The 18,575-nt window shown below is 44.0% G+C and overlaps 2 protein-coding genes across 9 annotated transcripts in view, besides 7 other annotated features; both read left to right on the forward strand.

The window, feature by feature from the left end:
• Positions 3,091–3,550: a silencer, noted in NCBI's record as "silent region_13250". NCBI's record gives its function as "represses an Ori minimal core promoter by ATAC-STARR-seq in GM12878 lymphoblastoid cells {active_cell/tissue: GM12878}" and the evidence as "EXISTENCE:reporter gene assay evidence [ECO:0000049][PMID:35858748]".
• The window catches only part of IFNAR2-IL10RB (IFNAR2-IL10RB readthrough), a 67,284-nt gene continuing 51,982 nt past the window's right edge, over positions 3,274–18,575 (forward strand). Inside the window, exons 1-4 of the mRNA NM_001414505.1 lie at positions 3,274–3,552; positions 15,222–15,313; positions 17,009–17,050; positions 18,287–18,410. Coding sequence (NP_001401434.1) covers positions 15,259–15,313; positions 17,009–17,050; positions 18,287–18,410 — 221 coding nt within the window. The 5' untranslated portion in view covers positions 3,274–3,552; positions 15,222–15,258. The remainder of the gene's footprint in view (positions 3,553–15,221; positions 15,314–17,008; positions 17,051–18,286; positions 18,411–18,575) is intronic.
• IFNAR2 (interferon alpha and beta receptor subunit 2) overlaps positions 3,274–18,575 on the forward strand; it is a 35,727-nt gene continuing 20,425 nt past the window's right edge. For 5 of the 8 annotated variants that reach the window (NM_207584.3, NM_207585.3, NM_001385055.1 and 2 more), the window contains exons 1-4: positions 3,274–3,552; positions 15,222–15,313; positions 17,009–17,050; positions 18,287–18,410. In NM_207584.3, the coding sequence (NP_997467.1) occupies positions 15,259–15,313; positions 17,009–17,050; positions 18,287–18,410 (221 nt within the window). In that variant the 5' untranslated portion in view covers positions 3,274–3,552; positions 15,222–15,258. Of the gene's footprint in view, positions 3,553–15,175; positions 15,314–17,008; positions 17,051–18,286; positions 18,411–18,575 lie in introns of all 8 variants that reach the window. The other 3 variants (NM_000874.5, NM_001289125.3, NM_001289128.2) reach the window with 1 other exon arrangement.
• Positions 3,611–3,670: a silencer, noted in NCBI's record as "silent region_13251". NCBI's record gives its function as "represses an Ori minimal core promoter by ATAC-STARR-seq in GM12878 lymphoblastoid cells {active_cell/tissue: GM12878}" and the evidence as "EXISTENCE:reporter gene assay evidence [ECO:0000049][PMID:35858748]".
• Positions 3,691–3,740: a silencer, noted in NCBI's record as "silent region_13252". NCBI's record gives its function as "represses an Ori minimal core promoter by ATAC-STARR-seq in GM12878 lymphoblastoid cells {active_cell/tissue: GM12878}" and the evidence as "EXISTENCE:reporter gene assay evidence [ECO:0000049][PMID:35858748]".
• Positions 4,963–5,152: a silencer, noted in NCBI's record as "silent region_13253". NCBI's record gives its function as "represses an Ori minimal core promoter by ATAC-STARR-seq in GM12878 lymphoblastoid cells {active_cell/tissue: GM12878}" and the evidence as "EXISTENCE:reporter gene assay evidence [ECO:0000049][PMID:35858748]".
• Positions 8,020–8,069: an enhancer, noted in NCBI's record as "active region_18368". NCBI's record gives its function as "activates an Ori minimal core promoter by ATAC-STARR-seq in GM12878 lymphoblastoid cells {active_cell/tissue: GM12878}" and the evidence as "EXISTENCE:reporter gene assay evidence [ECO:0000049][PMID:35858748]".
• Positions 11,625–11,854: an enhancer, noted in NCBI's record as "active region_18369". NCBI's record gives its function as "activates an Ori minimal core promoter by ATAC-STARR-seq in GM12878 lymphoblastoid cells {active_cell/tissue: GM12878}" and the evidence as "EXISTENCE:reporter gene assay evidence [ECO:0000049][PMID:35858748]".
• Positions 11,995–12,044: an enhancer, noted in NCBI's record as "active region_18370". NCBI's record gives its function as "activates an Ori minimal core promoter by ATAC-STARR-seq in GM12878 lymphoblastoid cells {active_cell/tissue: GM12878}" and the evidence as "EXISTENCE:reporter gene assay evidence [ECO:0000049][PMID:35858748]".

Here is an 18,575-nt window from a genome sequence, read left to right on the forward strand (position 1 = left end):
AACCCCGTCTCTACAAAAATACAAAAAAAAAAAAAAAAAATTAGCTGGGTGTGGTGGCGGGTGCCTGTAGTCCCAGCTACTTGGGAGGCTGAGGCAGGAGAATGGTGTGAACCCGGGAGGTGGAGCTTGCAGTGAGCCGAGATCGCGCAGCTGCACTTCAGCCTGGGAAAAAGAGCGAGACTCGGTCTCAAAACAAAAACAAAAACAAAAACAGTAGCCTCGTTATAACGCCTATCACCCCTATTACTCAGGAAATTGCAGGGGATTTAGGAGCTCTAGGCAGGAACCAGACCATATATTTTTCTATGAAAAAACAAAACCCTTAGCATAGCGATCATCATGATTTTAAATTCCTAGTCTGATTTGCAAATTCTCTGCCATCTCCGAGTCTTATTTCTAAGCTTGCTTTGTCTCTTCCAATTGTGCTTGGTGTTGTCTGCCTTTCAGCATGCCTTGTAATTCGTTGTTAAAAACTAGATATAACATATCAGGTCATGGGAGCTGAGATAAATGGCCCTTTAGGATAAGGTGTTAGGTTTATCTGGCTAAGAGTTAGGCTGTGTTAAATGTTTGCTGTAGTTGTAGGTGTCAGAGGCTTCAGTTTTATTTAGTGTCCTCATTTTTGTCTCCTCCATTGTCTTTGGGTTTTCCTAGAAATGCCTTCTTAAATGGAGTTGTAATCCACCGTTATTATACTACAGAGTCCTGTTGATGTGGTGGTAAGATACTGTGGAGGCAAAACATTCTACAATCTTATGATTAATTCCCAGAGTTTTCTTTAATGGGCCTGAGTCTCTGGGCTATGACCCTCCGAGAAGTTTCTTAACTTTTGCTTTTTTCCTCCAGTCATGATAGACAGGAAGGCTAGAGGGGGCTGAGTTGTCTAATTGCCCTTCTGCTAGGTCAGTTTAGGCTCCAGTAATGTAATTGCCCTGAGGACAGGTTTTTGTTACAGAACACTCTGGGCATATCTCAAAATGTTTACTTTTCCCCTCCCACCGGCCAGTCAGGAATTTTTCTGTGGTCTTTACCATGAGAACTTGGTAGAGCTTCTTGGAGTAAACCTTTAACAATTTGGGGAGCATCCCTCTAAGACTGAGTACCCAACAGTGTTTAATTCTCAAGCTAGTCCACACTCAGTCTCCAGCAATTAGTCAATTACAATTTAAGTTTTGCTATGATTTCAGAGGCTTCTGGTCCCTGTAAACTGTGATTCTTTGCATTTGTCTGTCTTTCAGTTTTTGCAGTTTGCCCTGTGACTCAATTCACTGATACTGAAACAAGAAGAGTTGTTAATCTTCAATTTGTTCAGCTTTTCTCTTGTTGTGGGGAGTGGAGTGACAGCTTTCAAGCTCTTCACACCTTGGCATAGACTGCATTTGCTTTTGTTTTGTTTTGTTTTTTGTTTGTTTGCTTGTTTTGAGACGGAGTCTCGCTCTGTCGCCCAGGCTGGAGTGCGGTAGCGCAATCTTGGCTCACGGCAAGCTCCACCTCCTGGGTTAACGCCATTCTCTCGCCTCAGCCTCCTGAGTAGCTGGGGCTACAGGCGCCCGCCACCACACCTGGCTAATTTTTTTTTTTTTTTTTTTTTTTTTTTGGTATTTTTAGTAGAGACGGGGTTTCACCGTGTTAGCCAGGACTGCATTTGTTTTTTAAAAAATCTTTTTCCTAATTATATAAGTAAGGATGTTTACTGTAGAATGTTTGGAAAGGAAACAAAATAAAAATCACCTACTATCATCCAATCTGCAATAAGTCATAGTTAAGGTTTTGACATAGTTTTATTTTTAATATATATGTTTATATAAAAGAGTGCATGCAGCACATGGAGTTTGGTATTGGATTTCTCCCATTTTCAGAGGCTATTTCTGCAAATTCTCTAAAACTGTGGCTGAAAATATTTTCAATGTTGAATGTCTTTTATAAGAAATAGGATCCTAGATAAGTTCCCTTCAGATCGTATGGGGCTGGTGGGAATTCTGCCAAGGGTCACATAAGAGGCAGGACCGTGACATCCTCTTTATGATCACCCTTGTGCCTAGCCTTAAAGGAGTATCAGCAAATGTTGGTTGACTTCATAGATTAAAAGGCTCATTTTTCCCATCTACAAAAAGTATGAAACATCCTCCTCCTCCCTTTCCTAGGAGGCCAGAAAGCTGAACGAGAGATTAAATACTCAGTTAAAACAATTTAGGTGGTTAGTGTATCTTTTCCCTCTCCTTCAAAAAGATATTAACATTTCCATTTTAGTAGCTGTAATGTTTAGAATATACATACATTTTACTTGAAAGCTGCCTCATAGTCTATTTTGGTTTTGGATTTTCTTTTTTTTTTCGTTTTTCTTGAGACAGAGTTTCGCTCTTGTCTCCCAGGCTGGAGTGCAATGGTGCAATCTCAACTCACTGCAACCTCCACCTCCCAGGTTCAAGCAATTCTCCTGCCTCAGGCTCCCAAGTAACTGGGATTACAGGCGCCCGCCACCACGCCCAGCTAATTTTTGTATTTTTAGTACAGACAGGGTTTCACCATGTTGGTCAGGCTGGGTCTTGAAGTCCTGACCTCAGATGGTCCATCTGCCTTGGCCTCCCAAAGTGCTGAGATAACAGGTGTGAGCCACCGCTCCCGGCCTCATAGTCTATTTTAGAAGTTGACAGGCTATAAATAACAAGCAGACAAATTAATGAAGAACATCTGTCTTTCTGCCTATCCCGAAACACGTTGATCAGTGGGGGGTCGAGGGAAGGGTAGGAGTATGGAGAAGAGACCCGCGGAGAAGAGGGGAGAATCTACAACGGATAATGTTGTAGATATTTACAACATTTACTCAATGGTAGGTATTTTTATCCTCGTTTTACTAGTTGGAGAATTATATCATGCAGGTTTATACAATTAACAAGTGGGGGAGCCAGGAGAGAACCCATTCACTCTTTAGTTCATTCATTCATTCAGTCAGTCAACACATCTTTGGGTGTCTTCTAAATGCCAGGCACTATTCTAACCCCTAAGGATACTTCAGTAAACAAAACAGTCCCAAATTCTTCCCCTATGGAGCTTTCTCGGCGAAGGCGGGATTGGTTAGGAGCTGACAATCGGCAGCAGACGATTGTAAATGACCGGACCTTTTTTCTATTCTCCTGCCCAGCCCCCGGCCCGGCCTCCGCCTCCGGCCCTGCTCCAGCCCCGCCAGCGGCCCAGGACCCGCCCCTGGCTCCGGCCCCGCCCCTGGCTCCGCCCCCGCCCCCGCGCCGGCGGCGGCGCGGCGCCCGCGCTTCCGTATCGCTCCTCGTAGGCCGGGGCTCGGCGCGCGCACCCGCACTAAAGACGCTTCTTCCCGGCGGGTAGGAATCCCGCCGGCGAGCCGAACAGTTCCCCGAGCGCAGCCCGCGGACCACCACCCGGCCGCACGGGCCGCTTTTGTCCCCCGCCCGCCGCTTCTGTCCGAGAGGCCGCCCGCGAGGCGCATCCTGACCGCGAGCGTCGGGTCCCAGAGCCGGGCGCGGCTGGGGCCCGAGGCTAGCATCTCTCGGGAGCCGCAAGGCGAGAGCTGCAAAGGTAACGCAGCGTGGCGGGGTCGCGGGAGCGGAGCGCGTGGCCAGCTGACTGGAGGGAAAACGCCGCCTCCCTGCAGCGGTTCCCGGAATCCCCTCCGGTTCCCTCTCGCTCTCCCCGACTCCTCCTCCTCCTCCTGCCCTCCCTCTGCGTCTTGAGTATGCGGCTAGTGCGCCCTTCCTCTCTCCCGGGGCCGCACCTGCGACCCCAGGACCCCTCCCGGGCCCTGTCCTGCGCCCTCCACGCGTCGCCCCTGCTGGGAGTCCGCTTTCGTTGCACCCCTCCGCGTCCCACCCCACCCCACCAAGGATGCCCAGGATACCGGGCATTTGCCACTGCAAGATGTGAGTCGTTGCTAAGTTTGAGGGTCACATTCCTCCAGGTCCACCCCGCCTTGCAAAACCGGCTCACCAGCTGGGTGCTCAGGTTCGGGATCTCCAGCCCGCCCCCTTGAGGTCCCCTGGGATTAGCCCCCCTCGACCTGCGTCAGGGTCACAGACTGCAGCCGGGGCTGGAGCGGCCTACACCCCTCCGGATCCGCTGCGTGGAGGCAGGAGGGGGAAGGGGCGAGGGGACGTGGCCGCGGAGACAGAAGGGTGCACCCTCCCAGGGTCGGAGAGGGGAGATACTGGGAAGATACTCCGCGAATATGGAGAGGCGATCGGCACTTGCATTTCAACCCTGAGCAAATCAATCCGTTACACGCAGTAGCGAGTTGACTCCATCAGCCCGTTTATTTGGTTAGCGATGGTTATATTGACTCTGAGTATTCCCACCTCCTTTCTTTTAACATTTTTTTTTTTATTTCCTTGTTTTGTTTAGCAAGAAGTCTTAGAAACGAATATAGCATGCTTGGGCGTTGATTCAGTGGTGAGAAGTGCCGGAGCTGGCTCAGGGAGAGGTGGAGTTTCCCATGTGTGCTCACTGGCCCAGGGGCTAAGTCCCACTGCTTGCCAAGGTTTCTCAGTATCCTGTCCACCCACCCCCTATCCACCTGTGCAGGCTTGAGGGGGTGAGGGGGTAGCAGATACTCTATCAAAATCTACCCTAAGGAAAATATTCGATAAACACTCCTAGCAATTAGGGCATAGCTGATAAGGCTTGATCTGTTTGTCGCAGAAAATGACTTGAACTTGTAAGTTCTATTGTTCATAAAGTTGTTTTCCACAATTTTAGATAATCAAAAATGTACATGACTCATTTTTCTTACCTATTATTTCCTCTAAAGTTTCTCATGTATTTATTGAAAAGTTAAAGAAAATCTGATTTTGGTTCACATAATTTGACAATGGTGATTTGTCTAAAAGTCATTTCAAAAAGTAGTATGAAAAGGATCATAACCCTAGAGGTACTGTCATAGACGTGAAACATTTATTAAAATATATATTCCATGGCTCACACTTGCACACTCAAAGCCACATTGGACTCATTTTTTCTGCTACCTTTATAAACCTTCAAACTGTTCAAGAGTCAATGGTATGTATCATCTTCCGTTATCAATCATCATGTTTTGTTTTGTTTGGTTTGGTTTGGTTTGGTTTGGTTTTTGACAAAGTCTCGCTCTGTCGCGCAGGCTGGAGTGCAGTGGCACTGTCTTGGCTCACTGCAACCTCCCCCTCCTGGGTTCAAGCGATTCTTCTGCCTCAGCCTCTTGAGTAGCTGAGATTACAGGCGTGTGCTACTACGCCTGGCTAATTGTATTTTTAGTAGAGATGGGATTTCCACTATGTTACCCAGCCTGGTCTGGAACTTCTGACCTCAAATGATCCACCTGCTTTGGACTCCCAAAGTGCTAGTATTACAGGCTCAATCATCATGTTTTATCAAAGCTAAAACCCAAACTAAAATGCCATTGCTTATAAGATGCACTTTCATTTTATGTAATGAAGTAAGAAAAAACACTGTCAATCATGCTATGCCATGCCACCAGAATGAAAGCATTCTGATTTCAGAAATTCTCAAATGTTAAAAGAAAATGGGCATTTTATAATTTGTGAAATATTAGTGAGTTAGAGCAGAGCTTGACGGCACTGGCCCTGAGGGTCCTTCTTCTTCCTTTGGAAGAATGAAACTGGGGGCTATGCAATTCAGGGAAGAATAAAGGAAAAACAGGTAATTGGCAGAGGAGGTTGGCTGACTTAGAGGTATGGAAAAGACAAAACAAAGGAGGGAAAAAGAGAGGTATGTATGATGGGGAGGAGTTCAGAGCCACTGAAAATTTTCTCTGGCCCTAACAGGAAAACGAGTTACCCCACAAGCCAGGGTTTTATCATCTGGTACGTGGAGATATCCATCAGCATTGTCATTGGTTTTCATTTGTTTGTTTTTAATTCTCAAGTTTAAAAAAAAATTTAAAATTTAAATGTGTCTCAACCACCAGAAACTATAGTGAGATTTCTCTGTAATAAATAGGAAAGAAGGAGACTGATCCAGTCCTTGTTAAAAAAAAAAAAAAGAGGAAACTGAATCACAACATACTTTGCTTTTTTCTTTTCTCACAAAGGAACAGTGGGCCCTTTATGCTGGGTGAAGGTGAGTGAGATGGGGGAAGGTTCACTGGGCACCAACCTTCTGGGCTAGAGAAATTGCCCAGGCTTTACAGAACAAGCTGGAATCAGATAAAGTTGTGGAAAGGAAGTCGAGGTTTCACTCTGCCATATCAGTAGGAGGTACTAAAGCCAAACTAGTAGCAGCAAAGTGAACAGAAATGGTAAGGGGGAAAAATAGGAAAGGAAAGAACAACGTGGATTGCAAGACGTCTTACTAAAAACAAAGAATTACACTTGGAACAGAAGAAATTCATTACCATTGCCTTACACTGTGCAACAACTTGATAAAAATATAAATCCAATAAAACAAACTCAAAGATGAGAAAATTGTAAACTGGAGATGAAAAGGGAGATTGCAGACCTAAAGGAAAATTGAAGACCGTAAAAACATAGTGACAGAATAAATAAGTCAGGAGAAAGAACAGAAGCAATACTGCTGAAAATAAAAGTATTTTAATAGAAGAAAGCCCAGTAAGGAAGCCCAGTAAATTCAACTGAAAAGGGACAAAGATTAAGAAGAAAGAAGCTATTATGAAAGACAAAATACAATCAAGAATTGGGACCACTGAAGTCCCAGATGTAGAGAAGTCAACAAATGGGACAGAAAATTCAAATAAAAATAAGTCCAAAGAAAGCTTATTGAGATGAAGAAAAAATGGTCTGTAGGCCAAAGGAACATGCCATGTTCCAGAAAATGTCATGTGGGAATACGGAAGCACTACGATATCTTAAACTATTTAAATTCAAAGAAAAAGATTTAGGAATCTAAGAAGAAAAAGTAAAGGAGGGAAAAACAAAATCAAGCTCGCCTCAGACTTCAGTGCAGCACTAAATGCCAGACTATGATGGTTGTGAGGAAACAGTTCCAAGGGAAAGAAACTTTTCCGAGGGGCATATTTTTTTTCCGGAAGAACAAAGGGAATTCAGCACCCATGAACCGTTTTTGGAAAAACAAAAACTTGCTGAGTAATAAAATCCAGGAAATAGCAAATTAAGAGATAAATCAAAATAAAGAACTTAAGAGTAGAGAAAGGTAAAAAGACTTGGTGAGTATTTATTCTATTTAAATATAGAAGTAATACATCTATAGAAATTGTGGGTAAGATAGAATGCGATTGTTATTAATCTAGACAAAAATATACAGCCAAAAAAAAAAGAAGTCAGAGAGGAAGATGGAAGGAAACATGAGAATACCAATATTCTCTTCTTTCAAAGAATGGAATAGTAAATATGGTATAAAATTAAAAGATGCTATGTGAATATATAATACTGCAACTTTTAATATCTTTCATAAGTTTTATTTAAAACCTTAGAGGGATATCATAGGAAATTATACTTTCTTATGGACAAAAAAATTTAAATTTTAACAACTCCTTTGACTTTATTTTAGTCTTTTCCCAAGTAACATTAAACAGAAACACTGTGTGTGTGTGTGTGTGTGTGTGTGTGTGTGTGTGTGTGTTTATGCATAGAAAGATCTGTGGGATTATGTTCGCCTAATATTAATGATAGTAATAGTTTTTACAGAAGAAAAAAGAAAGATGTTTGAAAAATAAGCTAGAATCAAATATGCCAAGATGTTAACAATTGTTGATGCTGGATGGTAGGAATAAGGATGAGTGTTACTTTCTTATTTGTACTTTTTCATATTTTTCTAATTTCCAGAAAAAGATATGTAATTGTTTTTGTCTAACATTTCTGAATCCACTTCATTCATTATTCATTGCCTCCTTGACAATGTGCATCAGTCTATGTCAAACAGAAGGAAAGACACAGCCATACTTTACCAGGAGACTATGAGGCAGCGAGTTCCTGGAGGGTTGTTTGTCTGTCTAGGAGGAGTTGGAATTCAAAGAATCACTTCACTCAATCCATCCATTTTATCTGGGCCTTGAAAATTGGCAGGGTTTGTCTGGTCTCAGGGTGAATAGCAGGTAGAGCTCTTCTTTCAGAATGGAGAAGGCCACAGTGTCACAGGGTGAACCTGTGACAAAATTGGGGTTCAGCCTGGGAAGCCACATGAGTTGTTGGCTTCGCACAGGATGGAATTAAAGAGCAAGCTGACAGAATTAAGTGAAAGCAAGTTTATTAAGAAAGTCAAGGAATGAAAGGGTGGCTACTCCATAGGCAGAGCAGCAGCATGGGCTGCTCCACTAAGTATACTTATGGTTATTTCTTGATCATATGCTAAACAAGTGGTGGATTATTCATAAGTTGTCTGCAAAAGGGGTGGGAGTTCTGGAACTGAGGGTTCCTCACTTTTTTCGATGATATAGGGTAACTTCTGCATGTTGCCATGGCATTTGTAAACTGTGGTGGCACTGGTGGGAGTTTCCTTTAGCATGCTAATATATTGTAATTAGCATATGATAAGCAGTGAGGACAGTTTTGTCACCATCTTGGTTTTGGCAGGCTTTGGCCAGCTTCTTTACTGCGTCCTGTCTTATCAGCAGGGTCTTTGTGACCTCCTGTTTTATCACATAACTAAGAATGCCTAACCCCCTGGGAATGCAGCCCAGCAGGTCTCAGCCTCATTTTACCCAGCTGCTACTCAAGATGGAGTCACTCTGGTTCCAACACCTCTGACAAGAGCAGGGGGTGACCTGTCACCTGGGGCTCAGCAGGACAATAACTCTAGGAAAAACTGGAAAGGCTGATAGCCTTGAATTTAACCTAAGGAGCTTGGTGCATTGTCAGGCAACAGTGAGCTACAGACTGAGCTCACTACATAATTCACAGGGCCCACCCAGAGCCAAATAAAAATGCCTGAGAAAGTACCACTAAAGGTACTAAAATATAAAGCCTTTTCTTCCACAGTCTCTCTCTCTCAACACGTAATGTTTTTTTGTTTGCTATTTAATATCATTCTAAGTAAAAAAATAGGCCGGGCATGGTGGCTAACGCCTGTAATCCCAGCACTTTGGGAGGCCAAGTCAGGTGGATCATGAGGTCAGGAGATCGAGACCATCCTGGCTAACACTGTGAAACCCCGTCTCTACTAAAAATACAAAAAATTAGCTGGGTGTGGTGGCGGGCGCCTGTAGTCCCAGCTACTCTGGAGGCTCAGGCAGGAGAATGGAGTGAACTCGGAAGGCGGAGCTTGCAGTGAGCCAAAGTTTGCGCCACTGCACTCCAGCCTGGGGGACAGAGTGAGACTCTGTCTCAAAAAATAAAATAAAATAAAAAATAAAAATAAAAACTTGAATTATTAGCATGAATATTGCAGTTCTTTATATTATGCAAAACCAGATTTAAATAAGAGCATTTAATTCATATATGGAATTGCCAAGTTATACCATTAGTACTTTACAGCACATCTTGGGAGGTTCCCTTGAACTAGCCAGAAGAAGCAAACTGAAGCCAGACAGAGGAAGATTGCAAAGAGGAAGAGAGGGTCTCCACCAGGCACAGAGCCACCCAAGGGAGCCCTCCCTCAGGCTCAGGGATACCGAGGGAGCCAGAGCAGATTCACACAGGTCCCTGGGGCCCCTCTGCCCTGGTGACTCTAGGATGCATGTACTTGCACCTGACTTCTAGGCATCCCCCTCCTGCTAGCTTCCCCTCGATCCAGCCTGGGGCAGGCTCTGTGGAAGTCAAGCCTTGCATCTCCCTTTCCCAAGCACCTACCATCCTAACCCACAGTGTAGTGGCCACGTCCAAGGGTCTTTACGTCTCTGCCTCAGATATGCTAGGTACCTGGGTCAAGAGTGACCCAGAGACTCATCCCTGCCAGACCCAACCTCCAGCCAGTCACCCTCTGACTCCAGTCCATGGGGCGAGGCTGGAGTGCTGGCCCTGACCTCTCCAGCATCTGCACCAGGAGGGCTTCAGCGGAATGTGGTCCCAGTTGATGCCCCATGCCAACAGTAGCAGCAGCAGTTGTTAGGCATAGAGATTGAAGCCAGACAGGGCCTGGGATTCCTCTGCTGGGAGCCTAAACTGCAGGAGATGGGGAAGGATCCAAGTGTGAGCTGGGGCTCCTAGCACAAAACTCACATTGAAAGATAAAATGGTTAAGAATTTCAGGATAGCCACAGGAGAACCTCAAGCCAAGTGTAGGATCCTTCTAGCTGCAGGGCCTGGGGGTACTGAGACTAGCCCTGTTGACAGGAGCCATGCTTTAGGAAGACTGATCTATTTGTAGTCAGCAAGAGTTTTAAGGAGCTCCATTAACAATTTAGGCACGATGCCAAGATGGGATATTATATTTTCCAAGCAAGAAGAATCTGGTAATCAGGCATATGGTTCCAAGTGAAGTATAAGTCACCAGAAAGCAAGGAAGGAAGCCATCCCCTGGCCCAGAGGGGGAGAATGGGGTGTGTGTGTGTGTGTGTGTGTGTGTGTGTGTTTTCTCGGCTGCTGAAGAGACTGAGTGTTCCTGCAGATATATAACAAAGATGAAGATGTGCCACCGTTGGAGACAAATGGGGACCAGAGGCCACATGTCAGAGGTCAGGTCAGGTGTTCAAATATAAAGGGGTTGCCCTGGCTGGGCATGGTGGCTCACATCCATAATCCAAGCCCTTTGTGGGGCTGAGGCCGGAGGATCACTTGAGCCCAAGAGTTCAAGACCAGCCTGGACAACATAGCAAAGCCCCATCTCTAAAAAAAAAAATACAAAAATTAGCCAGGTGTAGTGGCAAATGCCTGTAGTCCCAGCTACTTGGGAGGCTGAGGTGGGAGAATCGCTTGAGCCCAGGAGGCAGAGGTTGCAGTGAGCCGAGATCACACCACTGCACTCCAGCCTGGGTGACAGAGTGAGACCCTGTCTCAAAAAATAAAGAAGTTGCCCTTCTACAATCTGGATGTGGTGGTATCTAGGGGAATGTTCACAACTAGGCAACGCCTCTGCTGTGGATTGATTATGGGAGATGACATCACACATCAAGATATCTCAGCAGATGTTTCTCAATGGGTACAGTATTATGGGATTAGTTCCAGGCAGTCGTGCTTGGATATCTCATGGGTGGTGGAGTCTGTAGCAAGGCTGGAAATTTTGACTTGGAATCACTTGGATTTCTCTAAGAGAATACCCCAGGTTGGATGTGTTACTGTGGCAGCAGAGAAGACTTAAAAATTACATTGTTTTTAGCTTGAACTTCGTCTTGTGAAGTCCTAATTAGGGAAGAGGAGTCAGGCTGGGGGTCTAGGGGAAAGCAAAGAGATAAAGCAGATAAGCCATAGGTCTACCTTGCTTCATGGTCCAGGACATACAAACAAAAAGAAGAAGCAGATAAGCTATAGGTCTGCCTTTCTTTATGGCCCAGGACATACGACCCTCCTGCACACATAACTCACAATCTTCCTGCGTATCATCAAATGCTTCAACTTATCATCAAACATCTCGGCTGACCGAAAAATGCAAGTTAGCTCCCTGCTACCTTGGCGTTGTCAGTCCTCCACATAGCACTCTTCAGCTTAAATTGCATTTTATAAAATCCCCAGCAAGCCTTTGTCTCCTGGCAGTCAACTCGTCTCTTACTGACCTGCCCATTGCTCCCTTGCAATGTATTTTCCTACTTTCTCTAATAAATCTGCCTTTCTTGACCTAAACTGTCATGGTAAATTCTTCTTACTCCTATGTCACCAGCCACAGACAGTCGCCACAAGCCATGACAAGTCTGCGATTTCATGGTCTTTTTTTATTTTGATGATATTTCCCCAGTGTTTGGGGGACAGAAGAATGCCCACAATCTATAGGTCTTAGTCACATGGATGGGGACAGAATATCTGAGAGAGAGAGAAGGAACAAGATCTACTGGGGCTCCTTAAAATTCTTCTTGAAGAACTCCTTTCTCACCTTGGAGTAGGGAAGACTTTCTGATTATGACTCAAAATTTAGAAGCTAAGAAAGAAAATACCTTTAAATCTGAAAACATAAAACTCAAAAACTTCTGGGTGTTTTTTTGGGGGGGTTGTTTTTTTTAAACAGCACAAGCAACTCAAAGGGCAAGTGACAAACTGGGGAGAGAAGAAAAAGATGTGACTCATATCACAGTTTCCCTTCTACTTAAAAAAAAAAAAAACTGCAAACCAGTAAGAAAATAGCAACAGCTCAACAGAAAAATTGCCAAAGGCACGAACAGTTAATGAGAAGGAGATGCAAATCGCTCTTAAACCTATGAAAAGATGAAGGTGTTCCATCACAAAGAGTAAGAGAAATACAAATTAATATTAATGTGAAAGACAACTTTTCATTTATGAATTTGAGAAAAATCCAAGAACTTGATGATATACCTCTAAGAAGCAACGGTAGGGAAACGAAAATTCTCACACATTGCAGGTGGTTATGTAAATTGGTATAGCCCCGCGGGTGGTCAGTGTGACAGTTTCTATCCAAATTACAGATGCATAGTTTCATTGCCAGGTCTCTTCTGTCTGCTTCTTCAGACCCACCCTCCCCTCTCCCCACTGTTTAGTTGGCCCAGGACCCTGTCTGGTAAGGATACAACTCCAGGCCCCTTGCCCTATGGCTTCTGGTTGTGTTCAGCCGATGGGGAGCCCCAAATAAGAGAAGGAAGGGACACCGTGAGTGATATTTATCCCTCAGCTTCCTGCCTGCACTGTCCTCTTGGTCTGGCTGTGTCCAGTGGTCTCATGTCATAGCTGCTCATACAGGAGTTTCTCCTTACAAATTGCAATGTTGGCTTCTCTTCCCCCTCCGGCCCAGAGTGATTACAGCCATCAATGTTGTGAGCTACAGGTTCTATACCCTCCCTTCTGCAGGCCCAGAATGGTAACAGCCCTCAATGTTGTGAGCTGCAGGTTCTGTACTCTCCCTCCTGGGGCCCAGAGTGGTCACAGCCCTCAATGTTGTGAGCTACAGGTTCTATACTCTCCTTTCTGCAGGCCCAGAGTGGTGACAGCCCTCAATGTTGTGAGCTACAGCTCTCAATGTTGTGAGCTACAGGTTCTATACCCTCCATTCTGCAGACCCAGAATGTTACAGCCCTCAATGTTGTGATCTGCAGGTTCTGTACTCTCCCTCCTGGGGCCCAGAGTGGTCACAGCCCTCAATGTTGTGAGCTACAGGTTCTATATTCTCCCTTCTGCAGGCCCAGAGTGGTCACAGCCCTCAATGTTGTGAGCTACAGGTTCTATATTCTCCCTTCTGCAGGCCCAGAGTGGTCACAGCCCTCAATGTTGTGAGCTACAGGTTCTATATTCTCCCTTCTGCAGGCCCAGAGTGGTCACAGCCCTCAATGTTGTGAGCTACAGGTTCTATATTCTCCCTTCTGCAGGCCCAGAGTGGTCACAGCCCTCAATGTTGTGAGCTACAGGTTCTGGAGTCTCCCTTCTGGGCCCCAGAGTGGTCACAGGCCTCAATGTTGTGAGCTGCAGATTCTATACTCTCCCTTCTGGTTTGCCTACAGCCCTCTCACACATTTGTAAATATAGTCCTGCAACCCCTAATGATGTCTTGGGCAAAGATGGACCTTTTATATGACGATAGCCCCATAAGATTATACCATATTTCTACTGTACCTTTTCTGTGTCTAAATATGTTCAGATACACAAATGCCACTGTGTTGCAACTGCTTACAGTATTCAGCACAGTACCATGCTGCACAGATTTATAGCCTAGGAACAATAGTCTATACCATATAACCTAGATGTGTAGTTGGCTATGCTATCTAGGTTTGTCTAAGTATACTCTGATGTTCATACAACAAAATAGCCTAACAATGAATTTCTCAGAACACAGCACTGTTCACAGTTGCAAAGATATGGAATCAACCTAAGTATCCATCAACAAATGATTGGATAAAGAAAATGTGGCTAGGTGTGGTGCTCACATCTGTAATCCCAGCACTTTGGGAGGCCAAGGCGAGAATCCAGGAGTTTGAGATCAGCCTGGGCAACATAGTGAGACCCTATCTCTACAAAAAAAAGGTTTTTTTAATTAGCCGGTGTGTGATGACACATACCTGTAGTCTCAGCTACTTAGGGGGACAGGTGGGAGGATTGCTTGAGCCTGGGAGGTTGAGGCTGCAGTGAGCCATGATTGCACCACTGGCACTCCAGGCTAGGCAACACAGCAAGACCCGTCTCAAAAAAAAAAAAAAGTTACATATATATACACACAGTATATTCAGCCATAAAAAAGAATGAAATCGTGTTTTTGCAGCAACATGGATGGAACTGGAGGCCATTATCTTAAGAGAAACAACTCAGAAACAGTCAATACCACATGTTCTTATAAGTGGGAGCTATTAATAAAAAATGTGCACACATTGACATATATATAATGTGGAATGATAGTCATTACTGACTGAGAAGGGTGGATTGGGTGTGGGGAGTTAAGGAATGAGAAATTACTTAATGGGTATAATGTATACTATTCAGGTGATGGATACACTAAAAGCCCAAATTTCACCACTATGCAATATATCTATCTAACAAAACTGCACTTGTACCCCTTAAATTTATTTTTTTAAAAAGCGTGTATCCTAATTTGAATGAGCTGTTTCTTGCCAGAACCCTAACTGATATGTCCTTTGTCTAGCAATTCTACTTCTGGAAATTTTCCCACACTTAAACTGGCACATGTGCAAAATGAAAGAGATTTCCTTGCAGAAGAGACTGGAAATAATTCAAATGTCTATAGTAGGGGTACTAATTATATAAATAATGGTGTGTCTATAGAGTAGAACTGTATCCAGCTATTTAAAAAACAAGGATAGAAAGATCTTCCAAACATATTTTTAAGTGGAAAAAGCAGGGTGGAACAGGGACTATACATGCTATCTCTTGTCTAAAAGATGGGGAAATTAGGAATATGTATTTGTTTTTGCTTATGCATGAAGATACTCTGAAGGATTCACAAAAGAAAAAAAAGTTTTCTAAAGGGAGCAAGACTTTTCACAATTTTTTTTTTGAATGCTTAAAATTGTTGAACCCAACGACTGTTGCCTGTTCAAAAGTTAAATTTAAAATTCCTCCCAGACTAGGTAGGGGATTGGGCCCAGAAGCTGAGACCAGGCTCACTTGAATAAATGGGGTAAATGACTAGGAATTTTACTATTCCTTACAGGTCTCTCATTATCTTGTCTTTGCTCCCATTTTTATATTTGCAGTTTAATTAGACACTTCAGAATTTTGATCACCTAATGTTGATTTCAGATGTAAAAGTCAAGAGAAGACTCTAAAAATAGCAAAGATGCTTTTGAGCCAGAATGCCTTCATCTTCAGATCACTTAATTTGGTTCTCATGGGTAAGTGCTGCTTTTTATCTTAGCTCTTATAGAAGCAAGCTGTGATGCCATCCTCACTGAGAGCACTGGCAGGAAGTCGCAAACTCATTTCCCTGACTAGAGGACCCAGTACCACCCTGCCTAGTGTCAGGAGTTAAGTGGAAAGCAAATAGGAAACCTACACTAGTAGTTTAGATTCAATGTAGATTCCTGTCCTGTTGTTAATTTTAGGAAAACAAATGAGTGACTTAAGGCAATAATAATCAGGACTATCCTCGCCATAATTTGAAGAGTAATTTCTCCTAACACGCTTTCTTCCTCCCCAATCTTTGATAAATGTCTTTTACCTCTAAAGTTGATTAATTAGCAACATGCTTATTCATATTCTGTGAATATTTCTAGGATGGACAATTGCCTCTGAGGACATTCCCTCAGCCAGCCCAAGTACTTAAACAAAAACAAGGAAATTCTTTGATGTTAAAGATCTCGTGTGTGTCCGGGCGCGGTGGCTCGCGCCTGTAATCCCTGCACTTTGGGAGGCCGAGGCAGGTGGATCATGAGGTCAGGAGATCGAGACCATCCTGGCTAACATGGTGAAACCCCGTCTCTACTAAAAAATACAAAAAATTAGGCGGGCGTGGTGGCGGGCGCCTGTAGTCCCAGCTACTTGGGAGGCTGAGGCAGGAGAATGGCATGAACCTGGGAGGCGGAGCTTGCAGTGAGCCGAGATCGAGCCGCTGCACTCCAGCCTGACAGAGCAAGACTCTGTCTCAAAAAAAAAAAAAAAAAAAATCTCGTGTGCGTGTGTGTGTGTGTGTGTGTGTGTGTGTGTGTGTGTGTGTGTGTGTTTTGAGGCATAGTTTCACTCTGTTGCCCAGGCTGGAGTGCAGGGTGTGAGCTCAGCTCACTGCAGCCTCCACCTCCTGGGTTCAAGCGATTCTCCTGCCTTAGCCTCCCAAGTAGACGGGATTACAGGCACCCGCCACCATGCCCGGCTAATTTTTGTATTTTTAGTAGAGACAAGGTTTCACCATGTTGGCCATGCTGGTCTCACATTGCTGACCTCAAGTGATCCACCGCCTTGGCCTCCCAGAATGCTGGGGTTACAGGTATGAGCCACTGTGTCCAGCCATTTTTTTTTTTTTTAGACAGAGTCTCCCTCTGTCACCCAGGCTGGAATGCAGTGAGCGATCTCACCTCACTGCAGCCTCCGCCTCCTGGGTTCGAGCTATTCTCCTGCCTTAGCCTCCCAAGTAGTTGGGACTGCAGGTGTGCACCACCACACCCAGCTAATTTTTTGTATTTTTAGTAGAGACAGGGTTTTGCCGTGTTGGCCAGGCTGATCTCGAATCCTGACCTTGTGTGATCCACCCACCTCGGCCTCCCAAAGTGCTGGGATTACAGACGTGAGCCACGACGCCCGGCCCCAGATATATTTTTAAGTGGAAAAAGCAGGGCAGAACAGGGACCGTACATATTGTTGTTAGTGTCAGCTCCCAAATGGATCTTATTTTATCTCAGATCACAGTCCTTGCACCATGTGCTGCTGGCACCAATGTAGAGTAAAAACCATCTATGTGGGCATTTTTTTGGCACAAGAAAAATCTCAATCTGATACCAATAAATGTGTGTTAAAGAATGTCAGACTTAGAGTAATCATTGCAAGTTGAGCCCAGATAAAACTATTGCCTCTCTAATGTGTTTTCTTCCTTCTAGTGTATATCAGCCTCGTGTTTGGTATTTCATATGATTCGCCTGGTAAGAGATGTTTTTTGGCTTCACTAAATTTTGTATAAGAGTGAAAGTGTTGGGGCAACCATTCAGAGGTATAAAATGTGGGAGATTTGATTTCTGATTGTACATCTGTTGCCTGTTTTATTGGGATTCTTTCTCTGTAAAAGGAGCTAAAATGAGCTAACTCTGGTTTTTTGAGAGATACAAAACTAGTCTAAGAAATGAACACTAGAGATCATTTTTAAACTTCTTTAAAGAATATTCAAACTCTTAATAATCTCACTAATAAAAGAATGAGGAGACACAGACTGTGCCAAATAAAAAATGGCCCAGAAATATTTACTCTTTAATTTACATTCTTCCACCCTGATGATTCCAGACAAAGGACAATAATTTTTTTTTAACTAAACTTCTTCCTACGTATATAAATCTGTCCACAAAACTTCACTAAGTATTAAATATGTGTCCAACCTTGTGCTAAGTGTTGGTTGGGGGTGAAGAGTTGGCAGTTGAGAAACAAAGGCCTGAGTCCTAACCACAGGAAACTTCAGTGATCTTTAAAAATTTAACCGTATAAGGCAGAATTTGGCAAGTCTGGCTTTAATGTCTCATTTATCACTGCCACTTCCCACCTACATGACATTGTATAATTCAACTCAGTTTCACAGTCTGTAAAATGAATCTTTTCATAGTGCCTACTTCAGCATTGTTGTGGGGCTTAAATGCTTAGAAAGGGCCAGTCTGGGCTCATGTTATACTCCCCTGCTCTCTGTGATCCAGGGAATAAGTGAGCTGGGGAATCCAGAGGAAGGAAAATTTGCAGCGGGCTGAGCTACTTAAGGAGGACTTCATGGAGGAGCTGGGAGCAGAGTTGAGAGAACGGCTTGGGGAGGGAGAATGGGTAGGGGAGAGTGAAAGGAAGTGCATCATGTGGGCTGGGATGGCCTGGGTTATTTTGGTCCAGTGAACCATGGAGGGACAGTCCAAGGGCATCGGAGAAGCCCTTCTGTCCAGACTCTCCTTACACAGTGCACAGTCCCTGTTTCCCATGCTTGCCTGCCCTGACAATATGTTGCTCGTTAATTGACTTACTAATTTATTTCCCATGTCCTGTAGACTTCCTGTTTTCAAGACACCAGGGCTCTCTGGAGAGGTTATCTGCCAGAGGTGTGGGTTCTAGATCCCAAGAAATGACTGAACAGTGGCCAGAATACAACTGTGGGTTCCAAATTTCAATGCCCTTTTTCTTCTTCTCTTTAGATTACACAGATGAATCTTGCACTTTCAAGATATCATTGCGAAATTTCCGGTCCATCTTATCATGGGAATTAAAAAACCACTCCATTGTACCAACTCACTATACATTGCTGTATACAATCATGAGGTTGGTTTGATATTTCATTTTCTCTTGGTAAACATATTATTGTTCTGTTATATGGGGAGAGGTGATCTTTTCTCTCTCTCTGTCTCTCCCTCTCCCTTTTCCTATCTACCTCTCCTTCTCTCTGCGTTTCTTATTCAGAGCCTTAAAAAGCCAAAGACAAAACAC

The sequence above is a fragment of the Homo sapiens genome, chromosome 21, assembly GCF_000001405.40.
Source record: "Homo sapiens chromosome 21, GRCh38.p14 Primary Assembly".
NCBI classification, from domain to species: Eukaryota; Metazoa; Chordata; class Mammalia; order Primates; family Hominidae; genus Homo; species Homo sapiens.